Source organism: Homo sapiens, chromosome 9, assembly GCF_000001405.40.
Source record: "Homo sapiens chromosome 9, GRCh38.p14 Primary Assembly".
In the NCBI taxonomy this organism is placed as follows: Eukaryota; Metazoa; Chordata; class Mammalia; order Primates; family Hominidae; genus Homo; species Homo sapiens.
Window position 1 is genome coordinate 69,027,095 of NC_000009.12, and position 27,084 is coordinate 69,054,178.

At 46.6% G+C, this 27,084-nt stretch overlaps 1 protein-coding gene across 2 annotated transcripts in view, besides 7 other annotated features; it reads left to right on the top strand.

Annotated features, from left to right (window-relative positions):
* Positions 8,547 to 9,016: a silencer, noted in NCBI's record as "silent region_19931". NCBI's record gives its function as "represses an Ori minimal core promoter by ATAC-STARR-seq in GM12878 lymphoblastoid cells {active_cell/tissue: GM12878}" and the evidence as "EXISTENCE:reporter gene assay evidence [ECO:0000049][PMID:35858748]".
* The window catches only part of FXN (frataxin), a 43,325-nt gene continuing 24,898 nt past the window's right edge, over positions 8,658 to 27,084 (top strand). For both annotated transcript variants that reach the window (NM_181425.3, NM_000144.5), the window contains exons 1-3: positions 8,658 to 8,853; positions 19,291 to 19,388; positions 26,046 to 26,166. In NM_181425.3, coding sequence (NP_852090.1) covers positions 8,689 to 8,853; positions 19,291 to 19,388; positions 26,046 to 26,166 — 384 coding nt within the window. In that variant the 5' untranslated portion in view covers positions 8,658 to 8,688. The remainder of the gene's footprint in view (positions 8,854 to 19,290; positions 19,389 to 26,045; positions 26,167 to 27,084) is intronic.
* Positions 9,177 to 9,226: an enhancer, noted in NCBI's record as "active region_28445". NCBI's record gives its function as "activates an Ori minimal core promoter by ATAC-STARR-seq in GM12878 lymphoblastoid cells {active_cell/tissue: GM12878}" and the evidence as "EXISTENCE:reporter gene assay evidence [ECO:0000049][PMID:35858748]".
* Positions 9,599 to 9,893: a silencer, noted in NCBI's record as "tiled region #187; K562 Repressive non-DNase unmatched - State 2:TssF". NCBI's record gives its function as "represses a minimal TATA promoter and a strong SV40 promoter by Sharpr-MPRA in K562 cells {active_cell/tissue: K562}" and the evidence as "EXISTENCE:reporter gene assay evidence [ECO:0000049][PMID:27701403]".
* Positions 10,182 to 10,210: a tandem repeat, named in NCBI's record as "Friedreich ataxia repeat instability region".
* Positions 10,193 to 10,210: a repeat instability region, noted in NCBI's record as "repeat instability region; expansion of the (GAA)n trinucleotide repeat region is associated with Friedreich ataxia". NCBI's record gives the evidence for it as "EXISTENCE:Southern hybridization evidence [ECO:0000078][PMID:8596916]".
* Positions 17,679 to 17,973: a silencer, noted in NCBI's record as "tiled region #4997; HepG2 Repressive non-DNase unmatched - State 19:H4K20". NCBI's record gives its function as "represses a minimal TATA promoter and a strong SV40 promoter by Sharpr-MPRA in HepG2 cells {active_cell/tissue: HepG2}" and the evidence as "EXISTENCE:reporter gene assay evidence [ECO:0000049][PMID:27701403]".
* Positions 18,276 to 19,271: an enhancer, noted in NCBI's record as "NANOG-H3K4me1 hESC enhancer chr9:71660286-71661281 (GRCh37/hg19 assembly coordinates)". NCBI's record gives its function as "activates a minimal SCP1, AML or CMV promoter by ChIP-STARR-seq in naive H9 embryonic stem cells {active_cell/tissue: H9 hESC(naive)}" and the evidence as "EXISTENCE:reporter gene assay evidence [ECO:0000049][PMID:30033119]".

A 27,084-nucleotide genomic window follows, 5' to 3' on the forward strand; every position in this document is an offset into this window, starting at 1 on the left:
GAAAGTAGTGATGGTGTTGATACTTGCATCAGGTCAGAGGCAGAGAAGAGAACTGGCCTGCAGTGATGGCCAAGGGTGAAGGTAGGGGTACTGGCTCCCCTCTTCTCCCCTAACTCTTGTCAAGGCCACCCACTCCTCTGTCCTGCCTAGAATGTGAAGGGAGGCACCCAGCTCAGCTGCAGGGTCCTGACTTCCCGGTGATCTGCACTAGCCTGCAGTCCCCTGAAAGCCCAGACCTGGATGTGTGTGCCTGGCCACCAAAGTGGCCCCGGGGTGCCCTCTGTGACCACAGGTGTATAAACATGCCTCTTAAAAGACACCATGACCAACCATGAGGCCAAGTGTGGGGCTAGCATTCGCTGATGTCTGTGTTTTGCACATACTAATTCACTTCATCCTCATGGAAATCTCTGAGGTAAAGAAGTATTTGCTTTAATTTACAGATGAAGAAACTGAAACTCAGGTTAAAAATAGACCAAGGACACACAGGTAGTTGAGGGGCAGAGCAGGGATTTGAACACTGTTATGAAAATTATCTAAAACTTGGAAGTAAGGCAAAAAGATTGCTTTGAATATTTAATTCAAAGTTAGACCAGAATAGTGGTTCTCAACCAGGGGCAATTTTACTCCTTAGGGGACCTTTTCACAATGTCTGGAGACATTTTTGATTGTCACTATTGAATGGGAGAGCAGATACTACTGCCATCTAGTGGGTGGAGACCAAGAATGCTGCTAAACCACCTTACAATGCATGGGACAACCACCACGACAGAGTTAGCCATGTGTTGCTTAACAACAGGGATACATTCTGGGAAATGCATCATTAGGTGATTTTGTGATCTTGCGAACATCATAGAGTGTACTTACACAAAGCTAGATGGTCTAGCCTACTATACGCCTAGGCTATACAGTCTAGCCTACTGCTCCTAGGCTATAAACCTGTACAGCATGTTACCATACTGAATACTATAGTCAATTGTACTACAGTAGTTAAGTATTTATGTATCTAACATATCTAAGCACAGAGAAAGTACAGTAAAAAAATATAATCTTAGGGGACCATTATCACATATGTGGTCCATCACTGACTGAAACAGCATTATGCAGCACATGACTATAATCAGTAGAAACATCAGTAAATAGTCACCATTGAGAAACTCTGTTCCAGCACAGTGTGACTATGCTCGACTTATTATTTGCCATTAATTAGGTCTCAAGGATGTCAATTTTTAGAAGACAATAAACAAAAAAATTAAAATAAAAAAATAAACAGCAAGCACAGTAGCTGATGCTTTTAATCCCAAAACTTTGGGAGGCCAAGGCAGCCTGGCCAACATGATGAAACCTCGTCTCTACTAAAAATACAAATATTAGCCAGGCTTGGTGGCACATGCCTGTAATCTCAGCTACTCAGGAGGCTAAGGCAGAAGAATTGCTTGAACCTGGGAGGCGGAGGTTGCAGTGAGCCGAGATCACGCCATTGCACTCCAGCCTGGGTGACAAAACTCCGTCTCAAAATAAATAAATAAACAAAAGAGAAAAGAATGTCAGCTTGTAGAAAACTGGTAAGATGCAAATGACTCTTGTCTAAGAAAGTAACCCCAAAGACTATAGTTTTATAGACCTGAAGGACACTACCCAGTTGTGTATCTCACTTAGCAATCTTACGCCAGAATGCTCTTTTTATCACTGACTATTATAGATCAGTTTCTTCCAGCTTCCTTTAAACCAGTTTGCCTTCCTGCTGGCTCCCTCTTGTATTTTGCTAGGGCTGCCATAACAAAATACCACAGACTGGCTGGCTTAAACCACAGAAATCTATTTTCTCAGAGTTCTGGATAATGGAAGTTCAAGATCAAGGTGCTGGCAGGGTTGGTTTCCTCTGAGGCCTCTCCCTGTGGCTTGCAGGGGGCCGCCCTCTTGCTGCCTCTTCCTGTGGTCTTTTCTCTGTGCACATGTGTTCCTGGTGTTTCTTTCTCATTTTATAAAGACACCACTCCTTTCACATTAGGACCTACACTTGAGACCTCATTTAACCTTAATTACTTTTTTTTTTTTTGAGACGGAGTCTTGCTCTGTCGCCAGACTGGAGTGCAGTGGCGCGATCTCAGCTCACTGCAACCTCCGCCTCCTGGGTTCAAGTGATTCTACTGCCTCAGCCTCCTGAGTAGCTGGGATTACAGGCATCCGCCACCATGCCCAGCTAATTTTTTTTTTCTTTGTATTTTTAGTTGAGACGGGGTTTCACCATGTTGGCCAGGCTGGTCTCGAACTCCTGACCTCAAGTGATCCACCTGCCTCGGCCTCCCAAAGTGCTGGGATTACAGGCATGAGCCACCATGCCTGGCCAACCTTAATTACTTCTTTAAAGGCTTTATCTCCAAATATAGTCATATTCTGAGTGTCCTGGCAGTTAAAATTTCAACCTATGGACTTTGGGAGAACACACTTCAGTACCTAAAACTCCACTAATTATTTAATCTTTGATGCATGCTCACTACAAATTTGCATGAGAATTGTTTTTAACTTTTTGAAAATTATGCTTTGCAAATACATTTGTCTAAGCCCACAAAGTCTACTTGTTTCTACTATACTATACTTCTTGCATGCTGGACAGATAGAGCCAATTCACTGAGACAGCAGTATTGCAGTAAAGAAACAGTTTAATTAAGGCAAGGGCTGGCCACATGAAAGACAAGAGTTCATTATTCAAATCAGTTTCTCTGAGAACTCAGAGGCTAGGGTTTTTATGGATAAGTTGGCAGGCAGGGAGTTAGGGAATGGGTGCTGCTGATTGGGGATAAAAGCATGGCAAACAATCCTCATGTGCTGAGTCCACCATAGGGTGGGGGCCACAGGACTGGCTGAGTCATGAGTCGTGAGTCCAAGTGAAGTCAGTTGGTGCCCAGAATGCACAGTTCTGAAAATCATCTCAAAAGACGAATCTTGGGTTCTACAATAGTGATGTTATTTACAAGAGCAAACGGGGAAGTCACAAATCTTGTGACCTCCAGCATAGATTATAGAAAGGCAAGCTATTCCTACATCTTAGCAGAATTCAGACCCCTCCCATAATCCTAATCTTGTGGCCTTTCATTAGTTTTACAAAGGCAGTTTCAGTCCCCGAAAAAGGAGGGGCTCAGTTTTAGGGAGGGACTATTATCATTCTTGCTTCAAAGTGAAACTATACACTAAATTCCTCCCACAGTTAGCTTGGCGTGGCCTTTGTTATATGCCCAGGAATAAGTGAGGACAGCCAGCCTATGAGACTAGAAGCAAGATGGAGTCAGCCAAGCTAAATTTCTCTCACTGTCATAACCTTTACAAAGGTGGTTTCATTAGGCATATTAATGCAAATTCCTTAGTTAAAACAAGAATGACTCTCTAAAGGCTATATTTCAGATACATCACATGCTTCTTTCCTCTTGTCCCCTCAACAGTAAGCAAGAAGAGTATTTTTGTACAAGAGAGAGGCCTCTGCCTGAAGCTCCCTTAATCTGTCAGATCACAGATCAAAAGCTATCACACACTGCCCAAGGGACCCTAAAGGGAGCCACTCTCAGAAAATAAATCCAAACCTCCTTTTTTCTGGCCACTGAAACGTTCAATAATTAGTTCATTATCTACATCATTCACATGTTTAATATTTATTGACTTTGGAATTATTGATTACTTTGCTGAGTATCTTATGAATTTAATCTATATTAATATTAAGGTGATGTATCAAATTGCATTCCAGAGTGTGGATTTGACTCTAGTGCCATAATCAGTCTCCTGGGACAAACAGCTGTTTCTCTTCCCTCATTATAGAAAAAAATTGCCCTTGGCAAATGTCAAAGAACATCCTTTTATCAATCTCTCTTACCAATCAATCCAAGCAAATGCAGTGGGATTTCTTTTCCCCAGAGTTGAAGTCACCTCCTGACAGGAAGTTAAGTCTTTAGGCACTGAATCATAGCACTGAGCTGAAGCCCAGGACTAAGCAAGAATGAGTGAGAATTTGGAGACTTAAGGTTTGGTCATCTGTAGAGGATTGGGTTTTGTCTTGTTTTGTTTTTGTTTTGGTGTCCTGCAAGGTTTCTCACTGCCCTTCATCAGGTAATATGCCCTGTCCCTGAACTGGCCAATTGTGTTACCCCATTCCCTTAGCAACAGTGATTGCTACTGAAGAAACAGGAGGCCAACAAAGAATATCACTCATTCACCAGTAGAGTGTCTATGTCAGAGATATTAGATAAACAGGAAAACTAACAATTACATTGCAGGCTGTGGAAACAGAGAGAGGTACCTAAGGCACACCTGTGGGAATATGAAAGTTTGGTTTCATAAAAGGATTCTGGAGGAAGTCACCTCTGACATTTGAGTTGAGTCCTACAGGATATGAAGAAAGTAGCCCCATGTTCCGGTTACTATGGCTGTGTAATAAATTACCTAAAACATACTGGATTAAAGCTATGAAAACATCTTTTCTGCCCAGAGATTCTGTGGGCCTGAAATTCACATGGAACACATAAGGCATACCTTGTTTCTGCTCCATGATGTCTAAGGATTCAGCTGGAAGACTGGGAGGCTGGGGGCTGGAATTTATCTGAAGAATGACTCATTTACATGTCTACTGGTTGACCCTGGCTGTTGGCTGAGGGGGCCTCAGCTCTCTCTACATTGTTTCTCTACTTTGGCTAGTTTGGATTTCCTCAAAACATGATGGCTGGTCCTCAGTGTCAGCATCCCAAAAAGAGAATGCCGGACACAGTGGCTCACACCTGTAACCTCAGCAATTTGGGAGGCTGAGGTGGGAGGTTGCTTGAGTTCAGGAGTTCAAGACCAGCCTGGGCAACATAGTGAGACTCTGTCTCTACCAAAAATTTTTAAAATTTTAAAAATCAGCCAGGTGTGGTTATGCACACCTATAGTCCCAGTTACTTAGGAGGCTGAGGCAGGAGGATCACTTGATTCCAGGAGGTCAAGGCTGCTGTGAGCTATGACCACACCACTGCATTTCAGCCTGGGTAACAGAATGAGACTCTGTTTCAAACAAACAAAAACCCAAAAAAAAAAAAAAGAGAGAGAGAGGGAGTTAGAAGGAAGATGCATCATTTTTATGACCTGGACTTGGAAGTCACCAAGCAGCACTTCTGCAGTACCCTGTTGGTTGGAATAGTTGTAGCCCAAACCCGAATTCGAAGGGAGGAGAATAGATAACATCCCTGGGTGACAGGAATGTCAAAGTCCCAAACAGCATATGACATGTGACAAATATTGGTGTGGCCTTCTTTGGAAGATCCAATCTTCCATACCAGGCAAAGGGATGGAAGACTAAGGAACAACATGAGGGATAGCCAGAGAGGGAAAAAGCATCACTTGTTCTAGGAACTACAAATAGCTTGAAGAAGCAAAGATGTCTAGATGCCTCCCAATATGCAGAGTGGGGTGTACAGAAGAGAGTGGTAAGGGCGCTGGGAGAGCTAAGGTGGGCAAGAGAGCTTCCTCTGTCATGCTAAGAAAGTTGGAATTTATCTTGATGGTGGTGAAAGCAGAGGGCTATGGTTAGATTCACATTTGAGATTTAGATTTTTAGATTTAAAATGATCACCCTGGTGACACTGGCTTAACTCACAATTTTGCCCAAGGCCTATGCTACCACAGTGCTTCTGAAACTTTAAAGCACATTAGAATCACCTGGAGGTCTTGTTAAACCATGGATTGCTGGGCCTTGAAACCCCAGAGATTCTGATTCAGTAGATCGAGAATAGGGCCTGAGAATTTGTATTTCTAACAAGTTTCCAGGTGATGCTGAGGCTGCTGGCCCAGCGACCACATTTGATAATCATAGCCCTCTGATAAATCCTATCAAAATATCCTAATGGCAGAGCAAGGGAATTCTGGTGATATCCTCCCCTACCCATAACCTGACAGCTATTAGGATCTGCCTACTTGAGGCTAAAAGCAACCAAGAGAGGAACAGCTACAGTGTACCACAGAGTCCCTCAACATCTTTGCCCACGCCACGGTGCCCCAGCTTCTTACCAAGTGTGCCTGATTCCTCTTGACTACCTCCAAGGAAGTGGAGAAAGACAAGTTCTTGCGAAGCCTTCGTCTTCTCTGATATGCTATTCTATGTCTATTTCTTTGGCCAAAAAGATGGGGCAATGATATCAACTTTGCAGGGAGCTGGAGCATTTGCTAGTGACCTTTCTATGCCAGAACTTGCTAAGCATGCTAGCTAATAATGATGTAGCACAGGGTGCGGTGGCTCACGCCTGTAATCTCAGCACTTTGGGCGGCCGAGGCGGGCGGATCACCTGAGGTCAGGAGTTCGAGACCAGCCTGGCCAACATGATGAAACCCCATCTCTACTAAAAATACAAAAATTAGCCAGGCGTGGTGGTGGGCACCTGCAATCCCAGCTACTCTGGAGGCTGAGACAGAATCTCTTGAACCCAGGAGGTGGAGATTGCAGTGAGCAGAGATGGCACCACTGCATTCCAGCCTGGGCAACAAAGCAAGACTCTGTCTCAAATAATAATAATAATAATAACTAATGATGCAGCTTTCTCTCTCTGAGTATATAATGCAGTTCTGATGATGTGAGGAAGGGCCTCACTGTTGGTGTGGCAGAGTCTGAGACCATGGCTGGCAATGAAAACACTACCCTTTGATGCCTATGGGCTCTCCCTTTATGGTTTCAAGGAGGGCTTCTCAATCTTGGCAGAATTTTGGACTGGATAGTTCTTTGTTGCACAGGTGGGGGGCTGTCCTGCACATCACAGGATGTTTCATCCCTGGCCTCTACCTACTAGATGCCAGTAGAACATACCCACCCCACAGCTGCCTGTTGTGACAATCAAAAGCATCTCCAGATACTTTGCAGGGGGAAAATGATTTCTCCAGGCCTGGCATATACATAACAGTATTTAAGCAGCTGCCTAGAATTAATTAAACACAGAAGGATGTCTCTCATCCAGAATGCCCTGGACCACCTCTTTGATAGGCAATCAGATCCCACCTCCTCCACCCTATTTTTGAAGGCCCTGTGCCAACACCACTTCTTCCATGAATACTTCCTTGATTCCCCCATCCCTAGCTCTATATAAATCTCCCACTCAACACTCACACCTGTTAGTTTACATTCCTCTTGACACTTGTCATTTAGCATCCTAAGTATGTAAACATGTCTCTCTTCACGATTCACAAAGTGGCTTTGGAAGAACTTTAGTACCTTCCCATCTTCTCTGCCATGGAAAGTGTACACAACTGACATTTTCTTTTTTTTTAAGACAGTATCTTGCTATGATGGCCGGGCTGGAATGCTGTGGCTATTCACAGGCACAATCATAGCTCACTGCAGCCTTGAGCTCCCAGGCTCAAGTGATCCTCCCGCCTCAGCCTCCTGAGTAGCTGAGATCACAGGCATGCACTACCACACTCGGCTCACATTTGACATCCTCTAAAGCATATATAAAATGTGAAGAAAACTTTCACAATTTGCATCCCTTTGTAATATGTAACAGAAATAAAATTCTCTTTTAAAATCTATCAACAATAGGCAAGGCACGGTGGCTCACGCCTGTCGTCTCAGCACTTTGTGAGGCCCAGGCGGGCAGATCGTTTGAGCCTAGAAGTTCAAGACCACCCTGGGCAACATAGCGAAACCCCCTTTCTACAAAAAATACAAAAACTAGCTGGGTGTGGTGGTGCACACCTGTAGTCCCAGCTACTTGGAAGGCTGAAATGGGAAGACTGCTTGAGCCCGGGAGGGAGAAGTTGCAGTAAGCCAGGACCACACCACTGCACTCCAGCCTGGGCAACAGAGTGAGACTCTGTCTCAAACAAACAAATAAATGAGGCGGGTGGATCACGAGGTCAGTAGATCGAGACCATCCTGGCTAACACGGTGAAACCCGTCTCTACTAAAAAAAAAAAAAAATACAAAAAATTAGCCAGGCATGGTGGCGGGCGCCTGTAGTCCCAGTTACTCGGGAGGCTGAGGCAGGAGAATGGCGTGAAACCGGGAGGCAGAGCTTGCAGTGAGCCGAGATCGCACCACTGCCCTCCAGCCTGGGCGACAGAGCGAGACTCCGTCTCAATCAATCAATCAATCAATAAAATCTATTAACAATATTTATTGTGCACTTAACAGGAACATGCCCTGTCCAAAAAAAACTTTACAGGGCTTAACTCATTTTATCCTTACCACAATCCTATGAAGTAGGAACTTTTATAAAACGCATTTTATAAACAAGGCACAGAGAGGTTAATTAACTTGCCCTCTGGTCACACAGCTAGGAAGTGGGCAGAGTACAGATTTACACAAGGCATCCGTCTCCTGGCCCCACATACCCAACTGCTGTAAACCCATACCGGCGGCCAAGCAGCCTCAATTTGTGCATGCACCCACTTCCCAGCAAGACAGCAGCTCCCAAGTTCCTCCTGTTTAGAATTTTAGAAGCGGCGGGCCACCAGGCTGCAGTCTCCCTTGGGTCAGGGGTCCTGGTTGCACTCCGTGCTTTGCACAAAGCAGGCTCTCCATTTTTGTTAAATGCACGAATAGTGCTAAGCTGGGAAGTTCTTCCTGAGGTCTAACCTCTAGCTGCTCCCCCACAGAAGAGTGCCTGCGGCCAGTGGCCACCAGGGGTCGCCGCAGCACCCAGCGCTGGAGGGCGGAGCGGGCGGCAGACCCGGAGCAGCATGTGGACTCTCGGGCGCCGCGCAGTAGCCGGCCTCCTGGCGTCACCCAGCCCAGCCCAGGCCCAGACCCTCACCCGGGTCCCGCGGCCGGCAGAGTTGGCCCCACTCTGCGGCCGCCGTGGCCTGCGCACCGACATCGATGCGACCTGCACGCCCCGCCGCGCAGTAAGTATCCGCGCCGGGAACAGCCGCGGGCCGCACGCCGCGGGCCGCACGCCGCACGCCTGCGCAGGGAGGCGCCGCGCACGCCGGGGTCGCTCCGGGTACGCGCGCTGGACTAGCTCACCCCGCTCCTTCTCAGGGCGGCCCGGCGGAAGCGGCCTTGCAACTCCCTTCTCTGGTTCTCCCGGTTGCATTTACACTGGCTTCTGCTTTCCGAAGGAAAAGGGGACATTTTGTCCTGCGGTGCGACTGCGGGTCAAGGCACGGGCGAAGGCAGGGCAGGCTGGTGGAGGGGACCGGTTCCGAGGGGTGTGCGGCTGTCTCCATGCTTGTCACTTCTCTGCGATAACTTGTTTCAGTAATATTAATAGATGGTATCTGCTAGTATATACATACACATAATGTGTGTGTCTGTGTGTATCTGTATATAGCGTGTGTGTTGTGTGTGTGTGTTTGCGCGCACGGGCGCGCGCACACCTAATATTTTCAAGGCTGGATTTTTTTGAACGAAATGCTTTCCTGGAACGAGGTGAAACTTTCAGAGCTGCAGAATAGCTAGAGCAGCAGGGGCCCTGGCTTTTGGAAACTGACCCGACCTTTATTCCAGATTCTGCCCCACTCCGCAGAGCTGTGTGACCTTGGGGGATTCCCCTAACCTCTCTGAGACGTGGCTTTGTTTTCTGTAGGGAGAAGATAAAGGTGACGCCCATTTTGCGGACCTGGTGTGAGGATTAAATGGGAATAACATAGATAAAGTCTTCAGAACTTCAAATTAGTTCCCCTTTCTTCCTTTGGGGGGTACAAAGAAATATCTGACCCAGTTACGCCACGGCTTGAAAGGAGGAAACCCAAAGAATGGCTGTGGGGATGAGGAAGATTCCTCAAGGGGAGGACATGGTATTTAATGAGGGTCTTGAAGATGCCAAGGAAGTGGTAGAGGGTGTTTCACGAGGAGGGAACCGTCTGGGCAAAGGCCAGGAAGGCGGAAGGGGATCCCTTCAGAGTGGCTGGTACGCCGCATGTATTAGGGGAGATGAAAGAGGCAGGCCACGTCCAAGCCATATTTGTGTTGCTCTCCGGAGTTTGTACTTTAGGCTTGAACTTCCCACACGTGTTATTTGGCCCACATTGTGTTTGAAGAAACTTTGGGATTGGTTGCCAGTGCTTAAAAGTTAGGACTTAGAAAATGGATTTCCTGGCAGGACGCGGTGGCTCATGCCCATAATCTCAGCACTTTGGGAGGCCTAGGAAGGTGGATCACCTGAGGTCCGGAGTTCAAGACTAACCTGGCCAACATGGTGAAACCCAGTATCTACTAAAAAATACAAAAAAAAAAAAAAAAGAAGAAGAAGAAGAAGAAAATAAAGAAAAGTTAGCCGGGCGTGGTGTCGCGCGCCTGTAATCCCAGCTACTCCAGAGGCTGCGGCAGGAGAATCGCTTGAGCCCGGGAGGCAGAGGTTGCATTAAGCCAAGATCGCCCAATGCACTCCGGCCTGGGCGACAGAGCAAGACTCCGTCTCAAAAAATAATAATAATAAATAAAAATAAAAAATAAAATGGATTTCCCAGCATCTCTGGAAAAATAGGCAAGTGTGGCCATGATGGTCCTTAGATCTCCTCTAGGAAAGCAGACATTTATTACTTGGCTTCTGTGCACTATCTGAGCTGCCACGTATTGGGCTTCCACCCCTGCCTGTGTGGACAGCATGGGTTGTCAGCAGAGTTGTGTTTTGTTTTGTTTTTTTGAGACAGAGTTTCCCTCTTGTTGCCCAGGCTGGAGTGCAGTGGCTCAGTCTCAGCTCACTGCAACCTCTGCCTCCTGGGTTCAAGTGATTCTCCTGCCTCAGCCTCCCGAGTAGCTGGGATTATCGGCTAATTTTGTATTTTTAGTAGAGACAGATTTCTCCATGTTGGTCAGGCTGGTCTCGAACTCCCAACCTCAGGTGATCCGCCCACCTCGCCCTCCCAAAGTGCTGGAATTACAGGCGTGAGCCACCGCGTCTGGCCATCAGCAGAGTTTTTAATTTAGGAGAATGACAAGAGGTGGTACAGTTTTTTAGATGGTACCTGGTGGCTGTTAAGGGCTATTGACTGACAAACACACCCAACTTGGCGCTGCCGCCCAGGAGGTGGACACTGGGTTTCTGGATAGATGGTTAGCAACCTCTGTCACCAGCTGGGCCTCTTTTTTTCTATACTGAATTAATCACATTTGTTTAACCTGTCTGTTCCATAGTTCCCTTGCACATCTTGGGTATTTGAGGAGTTGGGTGGGTGGCAGTGGCAACTGGGGCCACCATCCTGTTTAATTATTTTAAAGCCCTGACTGTCCTGGATTGACCCTAAGCTCCCCCTGGTCTCCAAAATTCATCAGAAACTGAGTTCACTTGAAGGCCTCTTCCCCACCCTTTTCTCCACCCCTTGCATCTACTTCTAAAGCAGCTGTTCAACAGAAACAGAATGGGAGCCACACACATAATTCTACATTTTCTAGTTAAAAAGAAAAAAAAATCATTTTCAACAATATATTTATTCAACCTAGTACATACAAAATATTATCATTCCAACATGTAATCAGTATTTTAAAAATCAGTAATGAGACCAGGCACGGTGGCTCACGACTGTAATCCCAGGACTTTGGGAGGCCGAGGCGAGTGGATCATCTGAGATCAGGAGTTCAAGACCAGCCTGGCCAACATGGTGAAACCCCATCTCTACTAAAAACTAGCTCAGCATGGTGGTGGGTGCCTGTAGTCCCAGCTACTCGGGAGGCTGAGGCATGAGAATCACTTGAGCCCAGGAGGCAGAGGTTGCAGTGAGCCAAGATTTTGGGGGATTCTGTGACATACAAAAAAAATCAGTAATAAGATATCTTGCATACTCTTTTCGTACTCATATACTTCCAGCATATCTCAATTCACAATTTCTAAGTAAATGCTCTATCTGTATTTACTTTTATAAAATTCACAATTAAAAATGAAGGTTCACATAGTCAAGTTGTTCCAAACACACTTAAATGTCTCCTAGGCTGGGTGTGGTTGCTCACACCTGTAATCCCAGCACTTTGGGAGGCTGAGATGGGCGGATCACCTGAGGTCAGGAGTTTGAGACCAGCCTGGCCAACATGGTGAAACCCCGTCTCTACTAAAAATACAAAAATTAGCTGGATGTGGTGGCACTCACCTGTAATCCCAGCTACTCAGGAGGCTGAGGCAGGATAATTGCTTGAACCCGGGAGGTGGTGGAGGTTGCAGTGAGCCGAGATCGCACCACTGCCTTCCAACCTGGGCGACAGAGCGAGACTCCGTCTCAAAAAAAAAAAAAAGGCTCCTAATAACTTTATTACTTTATTATCACCTCAAATAATTAAAATTAAATGAAGTTGAAAATCCAGGTCCTCAGTCCCATTAGCCACATTTCTAGTGCTCAGTAGCCACGGGGGCTGGTGACCACCACATGGGACAGCATATTTAGTACCTGATCATTGGTTCTCAGATCTGGCTACTCAGCAGAACCAAGAATCCACAGAAACGGCTTTTAAAAGCACAGCCCCACAGCCCCCAGCCCCAGCCTTACCTACCTGGAGGCTGGGAAGGACTCTGATTCCACGAGGCAGCCTATGTTTTTTGATGGAGGGATGTGACAGGGGCTGCATCTTTAACGTTTCCTCTTAAATACTGGAGACAGCTTCGAGGAGGAGATAACTGGATGTGTCTTAGTCCATTTGATGGAGGGATGTGACGGGGCTGCGTCTTTAACGTTTCCTCTTAAATACCGGAGACAGCTTCGAGAAGGAGATAACTGGATGTTTCTTAGTCCATTTTCTGTTGCTTGTGACAGAATACCTGAAACTGGGCAATTTATATGGTAAAAAATTTTCTTCTTACTGCTCTGGAGGCTGAGAAGTCCAAAGTCAAGTCCCTTCTTGCTGGTGGGGACTTTGCAGAGTATTGAGGCGGCACCGGGCGTCATATGGTAAGGGGCTGAGTGTGCTACCTCAGGTGTCTTTTTCTTTTCTTATAAAGCCTAACTAGTTTCACTCCCATGATAACCCATTAATCTATGAATGGATTAATCCATTATTGAGGGAAGAACCTTCATGACCCAGTCACCGCTTAAAGGCCCCACCTCTCAATACTGCCACATCGGGAATTAAGTTTCAACATGAGTTTCGGAGGTGACAAACATTCAAACCATAGCATGCTGTCTCTTAAATGACTCAATAAGCTCCTGTGGCATCCACTTCTGCATGCCTTGGGCAGCTTTTAGACATCTGTCCATTTTCCTAGAGGGACAAGACCACCACCTGTGATCCTATGACCTTTTGGCTTTAGGCCTAACAAGCAGGTTATACCCTCACTCACTTTCAAATCATTTTTATTGTCTTGCAGACAATTTACACAAGTTTACACATAGAAAAGGATATGTAAATATTTATACGCTGCCGGGCGCGGTGGCTCACGCCTGTAATCCCAGCACTTTGGGAGGCCGAGGCAGGTGGATCACGAGTTCAGGAGATGGAGACCATCCTGGCTAATACGATGAAACCCCATCTCTACTAAAAATACAAAAAATTAGCCGGGCGTGGTGACGGGTGCCTGTAGTCCCCACTACTCGGGACGCTGAGGCAGGAGAATGGCGTGAACCCGGGAGGCAGAGCTTGCAGTGATCCGAGATCGTGCCACTGCACTCCAGCCTGGGTGACAGAGCGAGACTGCATCTCAAAGAAAAAAATAAATAAATAAATAAATATTTATACTGCTTATAAACTAATAATAAATGCTATGGTCTGCATGTTTGTGTCACCCCACCATTCATATGTTAAAACCTAATCACCAAAGTGATATTAGGAGGTGGGGCCCTTGGGAGGTGATGAGGTATGAGGGTGGAGCCCATATGATTGGGATTAGTGCCCTTCTAAAATAGCCCAACGGAGCCCAGTGACAAGGCATCATCTATGAACCAGGAAACTGGCCCTCACCAGACACCAAAGCTGTTGGTGCATTGATCTTGGATTTCCCACCCTCCAGGACTCTAAGAAACACATTTCTATTGTTTATAAGCCACCCAGTGGCTGGTATTTTGTTATAACATCCCAGACTAAGACAAATAACAAATACTTGTATCCCTGACACCAGGTTAAGAGATAGAATTTGTTTGTTCCTCTGGAGGCCCTTGTCTTCACCCCATCACTGCCCTGTCCTCCCTGGAGGAATCTGCCAGCCCGAATTCTGTTCATCGTACCCTCCTTTTCTTAGAGTTTGACCTCCTCTGTATCTCCCCCAATCCATGTATTGCTTATATACAAGGTATTCTGCTGTATCTGTTCTGCTATGGCTTGCCCCTTTTGTTCAACACTGTTTTTGTGCGTCATCTGCATTGATGCATGCAGTTGTCCTTTATTTGTTCTCACTGCTGGATAGTATCTGGTTGGGTAAATATATCACACTGTAAATCACACTATCCAGGTTCCTTTAGGTGACATTTGGTTGATTGCAGTGTTCTGTTGTTACGATGGTGCTGCTGTGACTGTTCTTGTGCATGGACAGAAGTTCCTTTCAGGTGAATTTCTCAGAATGGAATTGCTGGGCAAAGGGGCAGCCAATAATCAACTCATTTGATGCCAAAAGTGGTGGTGCCAGTTCATCCTCCCCTGCGAGGTATGGGTCCTGATTCACTCTTCAAGTGCTGTGGTTTGACAGGGCCGGGGGTGACAAGGGGACACCTGGGAAGGAAAGCTGGGCTCCCTGCTGGCCATCCAGGCCAGTCCTTACCAGGGGGTAGGCAATGATTGGGTCAAGTGGTTCCTGACCACTGGGCCTGAGACTTCAGGCCCAGAAACTATCTAATATTTCCTCAAATGCATCCCATGAGCAGGCACTGTGTGAGTGAGCACACACATCTGAAGCCTCAAGCTAGGCAAGCCTACCATGACTTGTGGTCCAAGGGCTCACGGGTGACCTGGAGTTAGAGGGAGACATGGCTGCCAGGTGGCTTTAGAAAGAACACTCATCATGGCCAGGTGCGGTGGCTTACGCCTGTAATCCCAGCACTTTGGGAGGCCAAGGTGGGTGGATCATGAGGTCAGGAGTGAGACCAGCCTGACCAACATGCTGAAACCTGTCTCTCCTAAAAACACAAAAATTAGCTGGGCATGGAGGTGCACGCCTGTAATCCCAGCTACTCAGGAGGCTGAGGCAGGAGAATCACTTGAACCCGGGAGGCGGAGGTTGCAATAAGCCTAGATTGTGCCACTGCATTCCAGCCTGGGCAACAGAGCAAGACTCCGTCTCAGAAAAAAAAAAAAAAAGGAAGAACACTCATCCTATGACCTTGACCTCCAAGCTTTGCCTCCCTCAAGCAGAACAGAATGGAGCCTCCCTTAGGCAGAGGCGGAAGTTTGCCTCTCACCTAGTTCTCCATTCTTTTGTTCAGAGCCTGAATACCCTCAGGCTCTGTACTTGGGGTATTTCTGTTCTCTTGTTTTATGCTCACGGTTGTGAGGTTTGTTGTGAGTACCACGATCCCTTCCTTCAGAGGAGTAAACTGAGGTTCCAAAAGGTTTAGCAGTTGCCCGAGGAATATTAAATTGGCAAAAGCAGGTAGAATATAAAGCAAGGAGTATTTGGCAACGGTTCTTTTTTATGATTAAAAACAGCCGAAGAAAGACTTCTACTTGTGCCTTTGAAGGAGTAACTGCATTTGACCTTCCCACCAGTAACAACCATCAAATCTCTATTAAATTAAACACACACACACACAAACAAAAACAGCTATTGTGAAGGTATCAGCGACTAAGACAACTAAGGTTTGAGGGGCCAGGATCCTGGAGAGATGGAAACTTCCCTGAGGTGAGCCCCACATTCTCAGACACTTTTCCTTGGATGTTTTGAGCACTGCTTTAATTCCTGGGAAAACAATTCCTTCCACTGTGCACAGACTCTGGGGCCAGACAGCTTGGGTTCAATCCCAGCTCTGCCACTTAATGTCTGTGTATCTGTGTAGGCAAGTTACCCTTTGGTGCGTCAGTTTCCTCATCTGTAAAACACAACTATAGTTGATCCTCATTCGTTAAGAGTCTGTACTTGTTAATTTGCTCACTTGCTAAAATTTGTTACCCCAAAATCAGTACCCCTAGCCTTTTGGGGTCGTTTCAAAGATGTGTGCAGAGCGGCAAAAAAATGTGAGCTCCTCCAGGCTCATGTTCCCAGCCAAGGTCCAACAAAGTGCTGCCCTGCCTTCTTATTTCAGCTGTCATAGTGTAAACTGTGTCCTTTTCACAGTCTGATTAGTGCCATGTTTTTCAGATTTTTATGCTTTTTTCTTGGTTATTTCTCTGTTAAAATTGTCTCCAAGTGTAGTGCAAAGTTTAGCACGAGGAGGCTGTGATGTTCCTTACAGAGAAAATGCATGTGTTAGAGAAGCTTTGTCAGGCATGAGTTAAGGTGCTGTTGTCCTGAGATCAATTAATTTGTTGTTGTTGTTGTTTGAGACAGGGTCTCCCTCTGTTGCCCAGGCTGCTGGAGTGCAATGGTGTAATCATAGCTCACTGCAGCCTCTACCTCTCTGGCTCAAGCAATCCTCCCACCTCGGCCTCCTGAGTAGCTGGGACTACAGGTACACCCCACCACACCCAGATAATGTTTTTGATATTTTTTTAGGTGGAATTTTGCTCATCACCCAGGCTGGAGTGCAATGGTGCGATCCTGGCTCACTGCAACCTCCACCTCCCGGATTCAAGCAATTCTTCTGCCTCAGCCTCCTGAGTAGCACAGATTACAGGCACATGTCATCACGCCTTGCTAATTTTTGTGTTTTTAGTAGAGGCGGGGTTTCACCATGTTGGCCAGGCTAGTCTTGAACTCCTGACCTCAGGTGATCCACCCGCCTCCGCCTCCCAAACTGCAGAGATTATAGGCACGAACCACAATGCCCGGCCTCATGTTTTTTATTTTTCAAGTTGAAATGAGGTCTCTCTATGTTGCCCAGGTTGGTCTCAAACTCTTGAGCTCAAGTAATCCTCCCACCTTGGCCTCCCAAAGTGCGGGGATTACAGGTGTGAGCTACCATGCCCAGCCAAGATCAGTGTTAATGAATCAACTATATATATTACATAAGGTGTCTTTAAACAGAAATAAGGTTATATATTGATCGATTGGTAACAATGTTGTGACCAGCAGCTTACAGGGTACCTAGCCTTGTATTTCTCCTATAAATAATTTGCTCGTTGAGTGTTTGTGGCAACTTTGTAGCACATAACTACCAAGAATAAGGACTGTAATAAGAGTACGTCCCTCACAGGATTGTAATGAAGACTGAGTCCATTTACATAAAGGCTGAGAGCAGTGTCAAGCAGATGGAGAACACTGTAGAATGTGCGATAGCTCTAACAGTGGTTATCATGGCTGCCCTCTCACTTCTTCAGAGACATGTGTTTCTAAGGTCTGCACTCTGCCCCACCCTCCCCATCCACTGTCCCCCAGCCCGTTTCCTCCTCCACTTACTTCCCAGCCCTGTGCCTTCTGCCTTCTCTTTTCTGAGTTTGCTAAGGGCACTGCTGGCTCAAGAGCAGTAACTAACAGTCTCTCGCCTCTTCTCTCCATGGCAACCAGTGACCTTTGGAGAATGTAAACCTTATCACCAATCTCTTAAAGCCCTTCGGTGCCTTCCCAGGATGACGTCCAGCTGAGGTCCTTGGCAAGACCCAGGGCGCCCCCTCCTCGCTCCATCACCTCCCCTGTCACCTCCCCTGCATCTCCCTACTCCAGCTGCACCACTCTTGTGCCCCAGTGGCTCTTGTCTGATTATTTCCTTCATCTCCCCAGCTGGTCAGCAGAGCTGGTGGTAATCAACTCAGACCCTGTCACCTGGATGTCCAGCAGTTAGGGACTAAAAAAAATCAACAGGTCACATTCTGTCCTGCAGATCATGATAATAAGATCTGTCAGACAGCAGTCAGCAGTCAGAGCCAAATCTTCTGGACTTCAGCAGGATTCTGCCTCTTGCTATTTCCTGTTGCCTCTCTTAGTGACCTTTTAAGAGCATTGTGGATGCCTCCCAGCCTCCTGCTAACCACCCTGTAACCTGAACAGCCTGCAGCAGCCCTGCCCAGTAGAACTTCCTGATGTGATGGAAATGCTGTGTCTGCACCACTAGCCACATGTGGCCACAGGATTCTCGAAACTGGTGGTGCAGTTGAGGAGCTGACTTTATATTTTATCTCATTAAATTTAAATGTAAATAGCTACGTGTGGCTTGTTGGCTAGCCTATTGGAAAACACGGGCTTAGAGAGACACAGGGAGAATCACTGTAATGCACTAAAAGAAGGTAAAAAAAAAAAAATCCTAAGAAATATTCCTAAAATACTTTAATATAGGGCTGGGTGCGGTGGCTCACATCCAGCATTTTGGGAAGCTGAGGAGGGCAGATCACTTGAGGCCAGGAGTTCAAGACCAGCCTGGCCAACATGGTGAAACCCCGTCTCTACTAAAAATACAAAAAATCGGGTGCGGTGGCGGGTGCCTGTAATCCCAGCTACGCGGGAGGCTGAGGCACGAGAATCACTCGAACCCGGGAGGCGGGGGTTGCAGTGAGCCGAGATCGTGCCACTGCACTCCAGCCTGGGCGACAGAGCGAGACTTCATCTCAAAAACAAAAAACAAAAACCAAAAAAAAAAACTTCAGCATGATTATTTAACCAAAATGCAGGTTAGTTGTTCACCGGATGCAGAGTCCAATTAACAAGAGCAAGGCCTGGTACCAAAAAAAGTGAATTTACTCCGAAACTAGCTTGGGTGAGGGGTACAAAGCATCCTGCCTTTCTTTAAAAGTGCTGCTTCCCCTTGGAAGTAGAAAGTGGACACTTTTATAAGGTAAGGGGGGAAGTGTGCAAGGGCAAGTGGGGGGGTCCCTCTGCTAGTTCCGTGCATACTCTACAGGACAGTTGACTTGGCACCTTCCTGGTTAGTAATAAGCTGTAGCAGTGGCCAAGTGGGCATGCTTTCAGTATGCCCTCCCAGTGAATGAAAGTCCTGAGGCAACCCCCAAGGGTGGAAGTGCCAGGCCACCACCCACTGGAGGTGAAAGTTCCGTGATGGGTTTGCTTTGGTCTGCGAATCTACTGTCATGTGGAGAGATCTGTGCTCTGGAAGAGCATACAGTTAGAAAAGCTTGCCCTGAAGGGAATGTATGGTGAAGGGGAGGTGAAAGGTTATATTTGCATTTCTGAAGGGCTAAGTAGGAAACCGGGAACCAGGGGAGAGGAGAAGAGAAGAGAGGATAATTTTTTTTAAGAAAAGCAACATATTCCCTTTTTCTTAGAAAAAATGGAGCACTCGGTTACAGGCACTCGAATGTAGAAGTAGCAATATATAAATTATGCATTAATGGGTTATAATTCACTGAAAAATAGTAACGTACTTCTTAACTTTGGCTTTCAGAGTTCGAACCAACGTGGCCTCAACCAGATTTGGAATGTCAAAAAGCAGAGTGTCTATTTGATGAATTTGAGGAAATCTGGAACTTTGGGCCACCCAGGGTAAGATAAAACACCTTCCACGTCATAGGTATCTTCCTCTCTCCTTCCCTGCCTCTCCCATTAGAACCTGGTTTTCTTCCTGAGCAGCAACAATCTTAGGCATCTTTCCATGTGACTGAGTATCCACCACATTATTTTTAATGAAATAGTATTAGATTGCATGGATGTGACATAATCCATTTAACCCATCCCCTACTGTTGGACATTCAGGTTGTTTCCAGAGTTTCAATATTATTTTATTTAATACCCTAATAGTTAGAGCAGGCCATGCTGCTATCACAAATAGACCCAAATATTTAATAGCTCAAACCAATAACGTTTGTGTCCTCCTCTCTGGGCAGTACAGGGTTGGCATACCTCCTGAAGTGAATTAGGAACTACACTCATTCCAGCTTCCAGTTTGGTCTTTATCTGTCAGTGCCTTACTGTCCTCTGCATTGTTGAGTCTCAGTCACCTTGTCCAAGTTCCATTGGCCAGAAAGGGCTAGAAGCACAGAAGGGCTGGAAGTGGCATTTGTTCCTCACTCACATTCTGGTGGGAAGAACTTAGTGGTGTGGCCTTAGCTGACTGTAAGGGAGGCTGGGAAATATAGTCTAGCGAGTGCCCTGGAAAAAGCCGGCACGGCATTCCCCATGGAAAGCTGTCAGGCACGGCTACAGTCTACCCCCTGCCAACCAGTATCTGCATGGACCCTCCTTCCACACTCAGATGCATTTACCCCCAGCCCCAAGAGAGCCAACCGATGCCCATGTGGTCACCACAGCCACCTCCGAGTCCAAGATTTCCAGGTGACATGCAGTCTCCTCTCTCCCAGCTTTAGGAATGGCTTCTTCTGATCTACACACAGACACAGACACACACACACAGACACACACACACACACACACACACACACACGATGGAGAGGGGCAGGATAACTGCAACTGTAACTCCATTCAGAAAAGAGGCACAGCACTAGCTGCCCGCAGCACTGGAGCCCTGCTGGGCAGCACTGGATCAACCTCTGCCCTGGCAGAGGAGCATGTTCCTCCACAAATCCCTGCTTCAGCCTCTCGAGAGGCTCCTCCTTGTCTGTTATTTTCCTTGGCCACAAGGCAGGCAGGCAGTGGGAAGTGTGCCCTCCTCCGGGGCAAGGAGCCTTCACAGCCCACTTCCTGCTAATAACAGTTTGGGGTTCCACAGGGTGTTTTAAGACTCCAGTCAGCTATTTTAGGCCAGACTCATTTCTCTCTCTCTCTCTCTTTTTTTTTCTTTTATGAAATCACACCCTGAGACCCAGGCTGGAGTGCAGTGGTGCGATCTCGGCTCACTGCAGCCTCCGCCTCCCGGGTTCAAGCAATCCTCCTGCCTCAGCCTCCTGAGTAGCTGGGACTATAGGCGTGCAGTGCCACACCTAGCTAATTTTTGTATTTTTAGTAAAGACGGGGTTTCACCATGTTGGCCAGGCTGGTCTTGAACTCCTGACCTCAGATGATCCGCCCGCCTCGGCCTCCCAAAGTGCTGGGATTACTGGCATGAGCCACTGCGCCCAGCCCAGACTCATTTTTCTTTGAGAGTAGGCTTTTCCCAAAAGTAGGCTTCTGAGCTATTCACTTTCAGGCAGTCCCATGTGCCAGGAACCACATCCAAATTTCCTCCGTGGATGGGAGTCTCAGGCTGCCTTATCTCCTTGCATGTCCCCATGCCCAGCTGTCTCAGCCTAAGGGCAGGTACCTTGAAGTCAAGTTAAACAATAAGATTGGAGACCAGCAATGCCCTCAGCCTGGTTTTTGCAGCAGGACTGAGTCCCTTGTTTTGGCTCAATGGGAAGTCTTTGCTGTTCAAAGCCTTAGCTTCTCTGGCTGAGTGCGGTGGCTCACGCCTGTCATCCTAGCTCTTTGGGAGGCCGAGGTGAGCAGATCACTGAGGCCAGGAGTTCAAGACCAGCCTGGCCAACATGGTGAAACCCTGTCTCTACTAAAAATACAAAAAGTTAGCCAGGCGTGGTGGCAGGCACCTGTAATCCCAGCTACTCGGGAGCCTGAGGCAGGAGAATCGCTTAAACCCAGGAGATGGAGGCTGCAGTGAGCTGAGATCATGCCATTGCACTCCAGCCTGGGTAACGAGCGAAATTCCATCTCTAAAAAAAAGAAAAAAAAAAGGCCTTAGATTCTCCCTTTGACTTTCCACGTTTGTGCAGCCTTTTATCTCCAATGCTCCATTTCATTCCATCTCCTGGCTTATTCTTTTCTTGTCACATCTACTAAAAGCAACAAGAAGCCACCGGTATTCAGGAACATTCTACCTGTCCCCAGAGCTATATGCTCAGTAGGCATACAGTTGGCCCTCCAGGTTATCTGAGACTCAGATTTCCAGAGGGCTTTGCATGGCTCACAAGGTCTGAAGAACCTCTGAGCCTCCCGCCTGCGGTGTCTGTTCATTGACTTTGCCACAGTCTCAAAGAGGCACTGCATGCTGCATGTTTGAGGTTTTTGCTTTGGTGGCATCCATTTCCAGCCTCGGCTTCCGGCATTCCTCCCCCAGCAGACTCTCTGCTGCTTTCCCCTTACTCCTTCTGGCAGTTCTGGGAGGTTGCATAGGGCCCTTGCAGGATGCCCCAAGTCCAGCTGCCTCTGGCCTCTGGGAAGCACACCCTTGACCTGCCATGTGTAGGAAGACAGCCCGCTTCTGCCAGGGCCCAACTCTGCCGGCAGGTAGCACCTTCCAACCTCTTCACTTTGGACTTTATAACTGTCAGGTATAAAGTCGGTTGTGTCCTTACGTTTCTCAAATTCTTCAAGACACGTCAACCAGCCTCTCCTACGCATTCTCTCCAGCTCAGTCTCAAAACACACCCTTTCTCTCCAGCTCACTCTCAAAACACACCCTATCAGGCCAACCACTCTTTTTAAAGGACAGCTCCTCACCAATCCAGTCAGGTAGCCTTCCCCACATTGTATCCTGGAAGTGGGTGATGGACTGGGTGGGGAAGAGGGTCATATGGCAAATCTGTATGTCTTACAGTAATTGTCTAGCAGCCCCTGGTGTCTTACTTTAGGCCCCCTGGAAACTTTCAGATAGTGGAGTTGTCTGATACATATCTTATAACCTACAGATATTAATATATCCTCACAGGGGCACAAAAGCTCTTACAAGGATGTTTATTATAATAATATTTTTATTGTTATAATTTACATGCCATAAAACTAACCATTTTAAAATGTATAATGCAAGGGTTTTTAGTATATTCACAAGATTGTGCAGCTGTCACTACTAATTCCAGAACATTTTCATTATTCCAGAAGGAAACCCTATTCATATTAGCAATCACTCCCCCATTCCGCCTTTCCCTAAAACCCAGCAATCACTAATCTACTTTCTGTCTCTGTGGATTTAAAGTAATTTTAAATTTGAAAAATAGTATCTATAAGGAAATGTATCTAGTCACAAGCATACAGCTTGATGAATTTGTAAAAATTGAACAGTCCTATGAACATACCCTGTAAGCTCAAGACATAGAATGTTACCAGCCCCTGCAAGCAAGCTGCCTGCTCACTTCTAGTCATTAACCCCTCCCTCTTTTCCTTCTAGTCATTAACCCTTCAGAGTAACTATTCTGATTACCAATAGCATAGATTAGTTCTGCCTGTTGTTTTACTTTATATAAACTGTCTCATTAAGTATAAACATGTTTGTGTATACTTGTGTATTTCTTTCTATCACAATGATGTTTGTGAGATTCATCCATGCTGTTCCTATAGACAATTCTATTTTGCAGCGTAGTATTCCATTGCATGACTATACCACAATTTATCTGTGATATTACAAAGGAATACTTGGGCAGTTTCCAGTTTGGGGCTATAGGATAGTTGTGATACAAATATTTTAGTATAGTACATGTCTTTTGGTGAACCTGGGTACACATTTCTGTTGTGTATACCCCTTAAGAGTGGAGCTGATGATCCTGGCTAACAAGGTGAAACCCCGTCTCTACTAAAAATACAAAAAATTAGCCGGGCGTGGTAGCGGGCGCCTGTAGTCCCAGCTACTCGGGAGGCTGAGGCAGGAGAATGGCGTGAACCCGGGAGGCGGAGCTTGCTTGCAGTGAGCCGAGATCGCGCCACTGCACTCCAGCCTGGGCGACAGAGCGAGACTCCGTCTCAAAAAAAAAAAAAAAAAAAGAGTGGAGCTGATGGGTCATAGCATGTAAATGCATTCAACTTTAGTAGATACTGTCCAACAGTTTTCCAAAGTGATTGTCCAACTTACTTGCCTATCAGCAGTATCTGAAAAGTCTAGTTGCTTCTTTTCTTGGCCAACTCTTTTTTTTTTTTTGAGATGGAGTTTTGCTCTTGTTGCCCAGGCTGGAGCGCAATGGCACGTCCTCTGCTCACTGCAACCTCCGCCTCCTGGGTTCAAGCAATTCTCCTGCCTCAGCCTCCCGAGTAGCTGGGATTACAGGCATGCGCCACTATGCCCGGCTAATTTTGTATTTTTAGTAGAGACAGGGTTTCTCCATGTTGGTCAAGCTGGTCTCGAACTCCTAACCTCAGGTGATCCGCCCGCCTCGGCCTCCCGAAGTGCTGGGATTACAGGCATGAGCCACCGCGCCAGGCCGGCCAACTCTTTTTTATTTTATTTTATTTTACTTTAAAGACAGGGTTTCACTTTGTCACCCAGGATGGAATGCAATGGCACGATCACAGCTCACTGCAGCCTTGACCTCCCTGGCTCGGGTGATCCCTCCCACCTCAGGCTCCTGAGGAGCTAGAACTACAGGCATGGGCCATGCCCAGCTAATTTTTTAATTTTTGGTAGAGACGGGGTCTCTGTTGTCTCAGATTCCTGGGTTCAAGTGATCCTTCTCCCTTGGCCTCCCAAAGTTCTGGTATTACAGGCATGAGCCACTGCACCCAGCCCATGGCCAGCTCTTGATACGATCTGTCTCTTTCTTTTCTTTTTTTTTTTTTAATTTGAGAAGTGTTAAATAATCTTTCTTTGATATTATACATAAACCACACCAAAATGTCTTTCAGTAAGTAAAATGAACCATTTTAGATACAGAAAATTCTAATTAGATTGGCATAGTTAAGGCCAAAAATATAAAGTTGACATTGCTACCTTATCTTCAGCCCTTGCCTTTAAGAGGCAAATGAACACAAAATACAGGTGAATCTTGCTTGGTTCTGAGACAGTGAAGGACTTTCCCCCAGTATTTAAATATATTTACATAACCAGTTACATAAATCTAAATATTAAAAAAATCTCCAATAGATTTTAGATGGCATTCACCATCTTTGTGAAAAGTTGAACATTACTAATGAAATCTGATCATATCTTTAGAAGGATAAACAGTGATAGCATTTACTGAATCAGAATAACTGTTTTTTGGGGTTTTCTTTGAGACGGAGTTTTGCTCTTGTTGCCCAGGCTGGAGTGCAGTGGTGCCACCTCAGCTCACTGCAACCTCCGCCCCCTGGATTCAAGAGATTATCCTGCCTCAGCCTCCCGAGTAGCTGGGATTACAGGCTCGCCCCACCATGCCCAGCTAATTTTTGTATTTTTAGTAGAGGCGAGGTTTCACCATGTCAGCCAGGCTGGTCTTGAACTCCTGACCTCAGGTGATCCACCCGCCTCAGCCTCCCAAAATGCTAGGATTACAGGCGTGAGCCACCAGGCCCAGCCTATTTTTTTTTTTTTTCTTTTTTTGAGACGGAGTCTCACTCTGTCACCCAGGCTGGAGTGCAGTGGCACAATGTCAGCTCATTGCAACCTCCACCTCCGGGGTTTCAGTGATTCTCCTGTCTCAGCCTCCCAAGTAGCTGGGAACTACAGGCGTGCACCACAAGCCCAGCTAATTTTTGTATTTTTAGTAGAGACAGGGTTTTGCCATATTGGCCTGGCTAGTTTCAAACTCCTGACCTCAGGTGAGCCACCTACCTCGGCCTCCGAAAGTCCTGGGATTACAGACGTGAGCCACTGCACTGCCTGGCCCAGAAAGGACTATTAATTGTAGTTGCCTCTGGGAATGGGGGCTGCCTGCTTCTTTCTGTAACCCCTTCTGTGCTGTTTAAATTTTTTTTTTTTTTTTTTTTTTTGAGACAGAGTCTCGCTCTGTCGCCCAGGCTGGAGTGCAGTGGCGCAATCTCGGCTCACTGCAAGCTCCGCCTCCCAGGTTCACGCCATTCTCCTGCCTCAGCCTCCTGAGTAGCTGGGACTACAGGCACCCGTCACCACGCCCGGCTAATTTTTTGTATTTTCAGTAGAGACGGGGTTTCACCATGTTAGCCAGGATGGTCTCGATCTCCTGACCGTGTTATCTGCCTGCCTCGGCCTCCCAGAGTGCTGGGATTACAGGCATGAGCTACCACGCCCGGCCTTTAAATTTTTACTTTGGGCCGGGCACGGTGCCTTACGCCTGTAATCCTAACATTTCGAGAAGCTGAGGCACGTGGTGGATCACTTGATGTCACGAGTTCAGACCAGCCACTGCACTCCAGCCTGGGTGACAGAGTGAGACTCTGTCTCAAAAAAAAAAAAAAAAGAAAGAAAAACTTTTACTTTTTACATGTTATTTTCATCAATTTAATGAATTTAAATAACAAATGTATAAATTTGATATTAATAAAATGGAAGCATTTGGTAATCATGTTTTGGGTTTTGTGCTTCCTCTGCAGCTCTCTAGATGAGACCACCTATGAAAGACTAGCAGAGGAAACGCTGGACTCTTTAGCAGAGTTTTTTGAAGACCTTGCAGACAAGCCATACACGTTTGAGGACTATGATGTCTCCTTTGGGGTACCTCTTGACTTCTTTTATTTTTCTGTTTCCCCCTCTAAGAATTTTAGTTCACTAAAATGAAGAATTTCCCTCCAGCAGAGCTAAGCATCAAGTAGCATGTAGTTGTAGGTAGGATTAAAAGACTAGGGTTCCGGGAGGTGAAGGTTGCAGTGAGCCAAAATCACGCCACTGCACTCCAGCCTGGGTGACAGAGCGAGACTCTGTCATAGATGGATGGATGGATGGATGGATGGATGGATGGATGGATAGATAGATAGATAGATAGATAGATAGCTGGATAGATAGATAAGATAGATAAGACAAGACTAGGCTTCAAGCTGCAGTCCAGCTCTACCAGGCTTGTTGTGACTCTGGGCAAGTCACTCAGCCTCTCTGAGCCTCATTTTCCAGCTTCAGTGGATACCCATGAAGGCAAATCAGAGAGGGGCCTGAGTGTGTATTTGTCCAGCAGGCAGATGGAGGGAACAACAAACTAGACCCGTAGTTCTTCAGTAGGGATAAGATAACTGCCCAAAAGTTATTTAGATTACAAAGACTTGAGCCCTGCTCCTGTGAGACAGTGATGGGGTAGGTCGGGTGCATTCCTGGGAAGCATATTTTTGAAAAGCTCACCTGGGATTCTAATGTGTATCCCTAGGTCTTATTCCTAGAGATTTTGATTACTTGGTCTGGGGTGTGGCATGACCTGGGCAGGGCACTGGGATTTTTAAGCTCCACAGATGATTCCAATATGCAGCTAGTATGAGAACTTGTTTTTTTTTGAAGGAGTCTCACTCTGTCACCCAGGCTGGAGTGCAGTGGCGCAATCTCGGCTCACTGCTCCGCTTCCTGGGTTCAAGCAGTTCTCCTGCCTCAGCCTCCCGAGTAGCTGGGATTATAGGCATCTGCCACCATGCCCAGCTAATTTTTGCATTT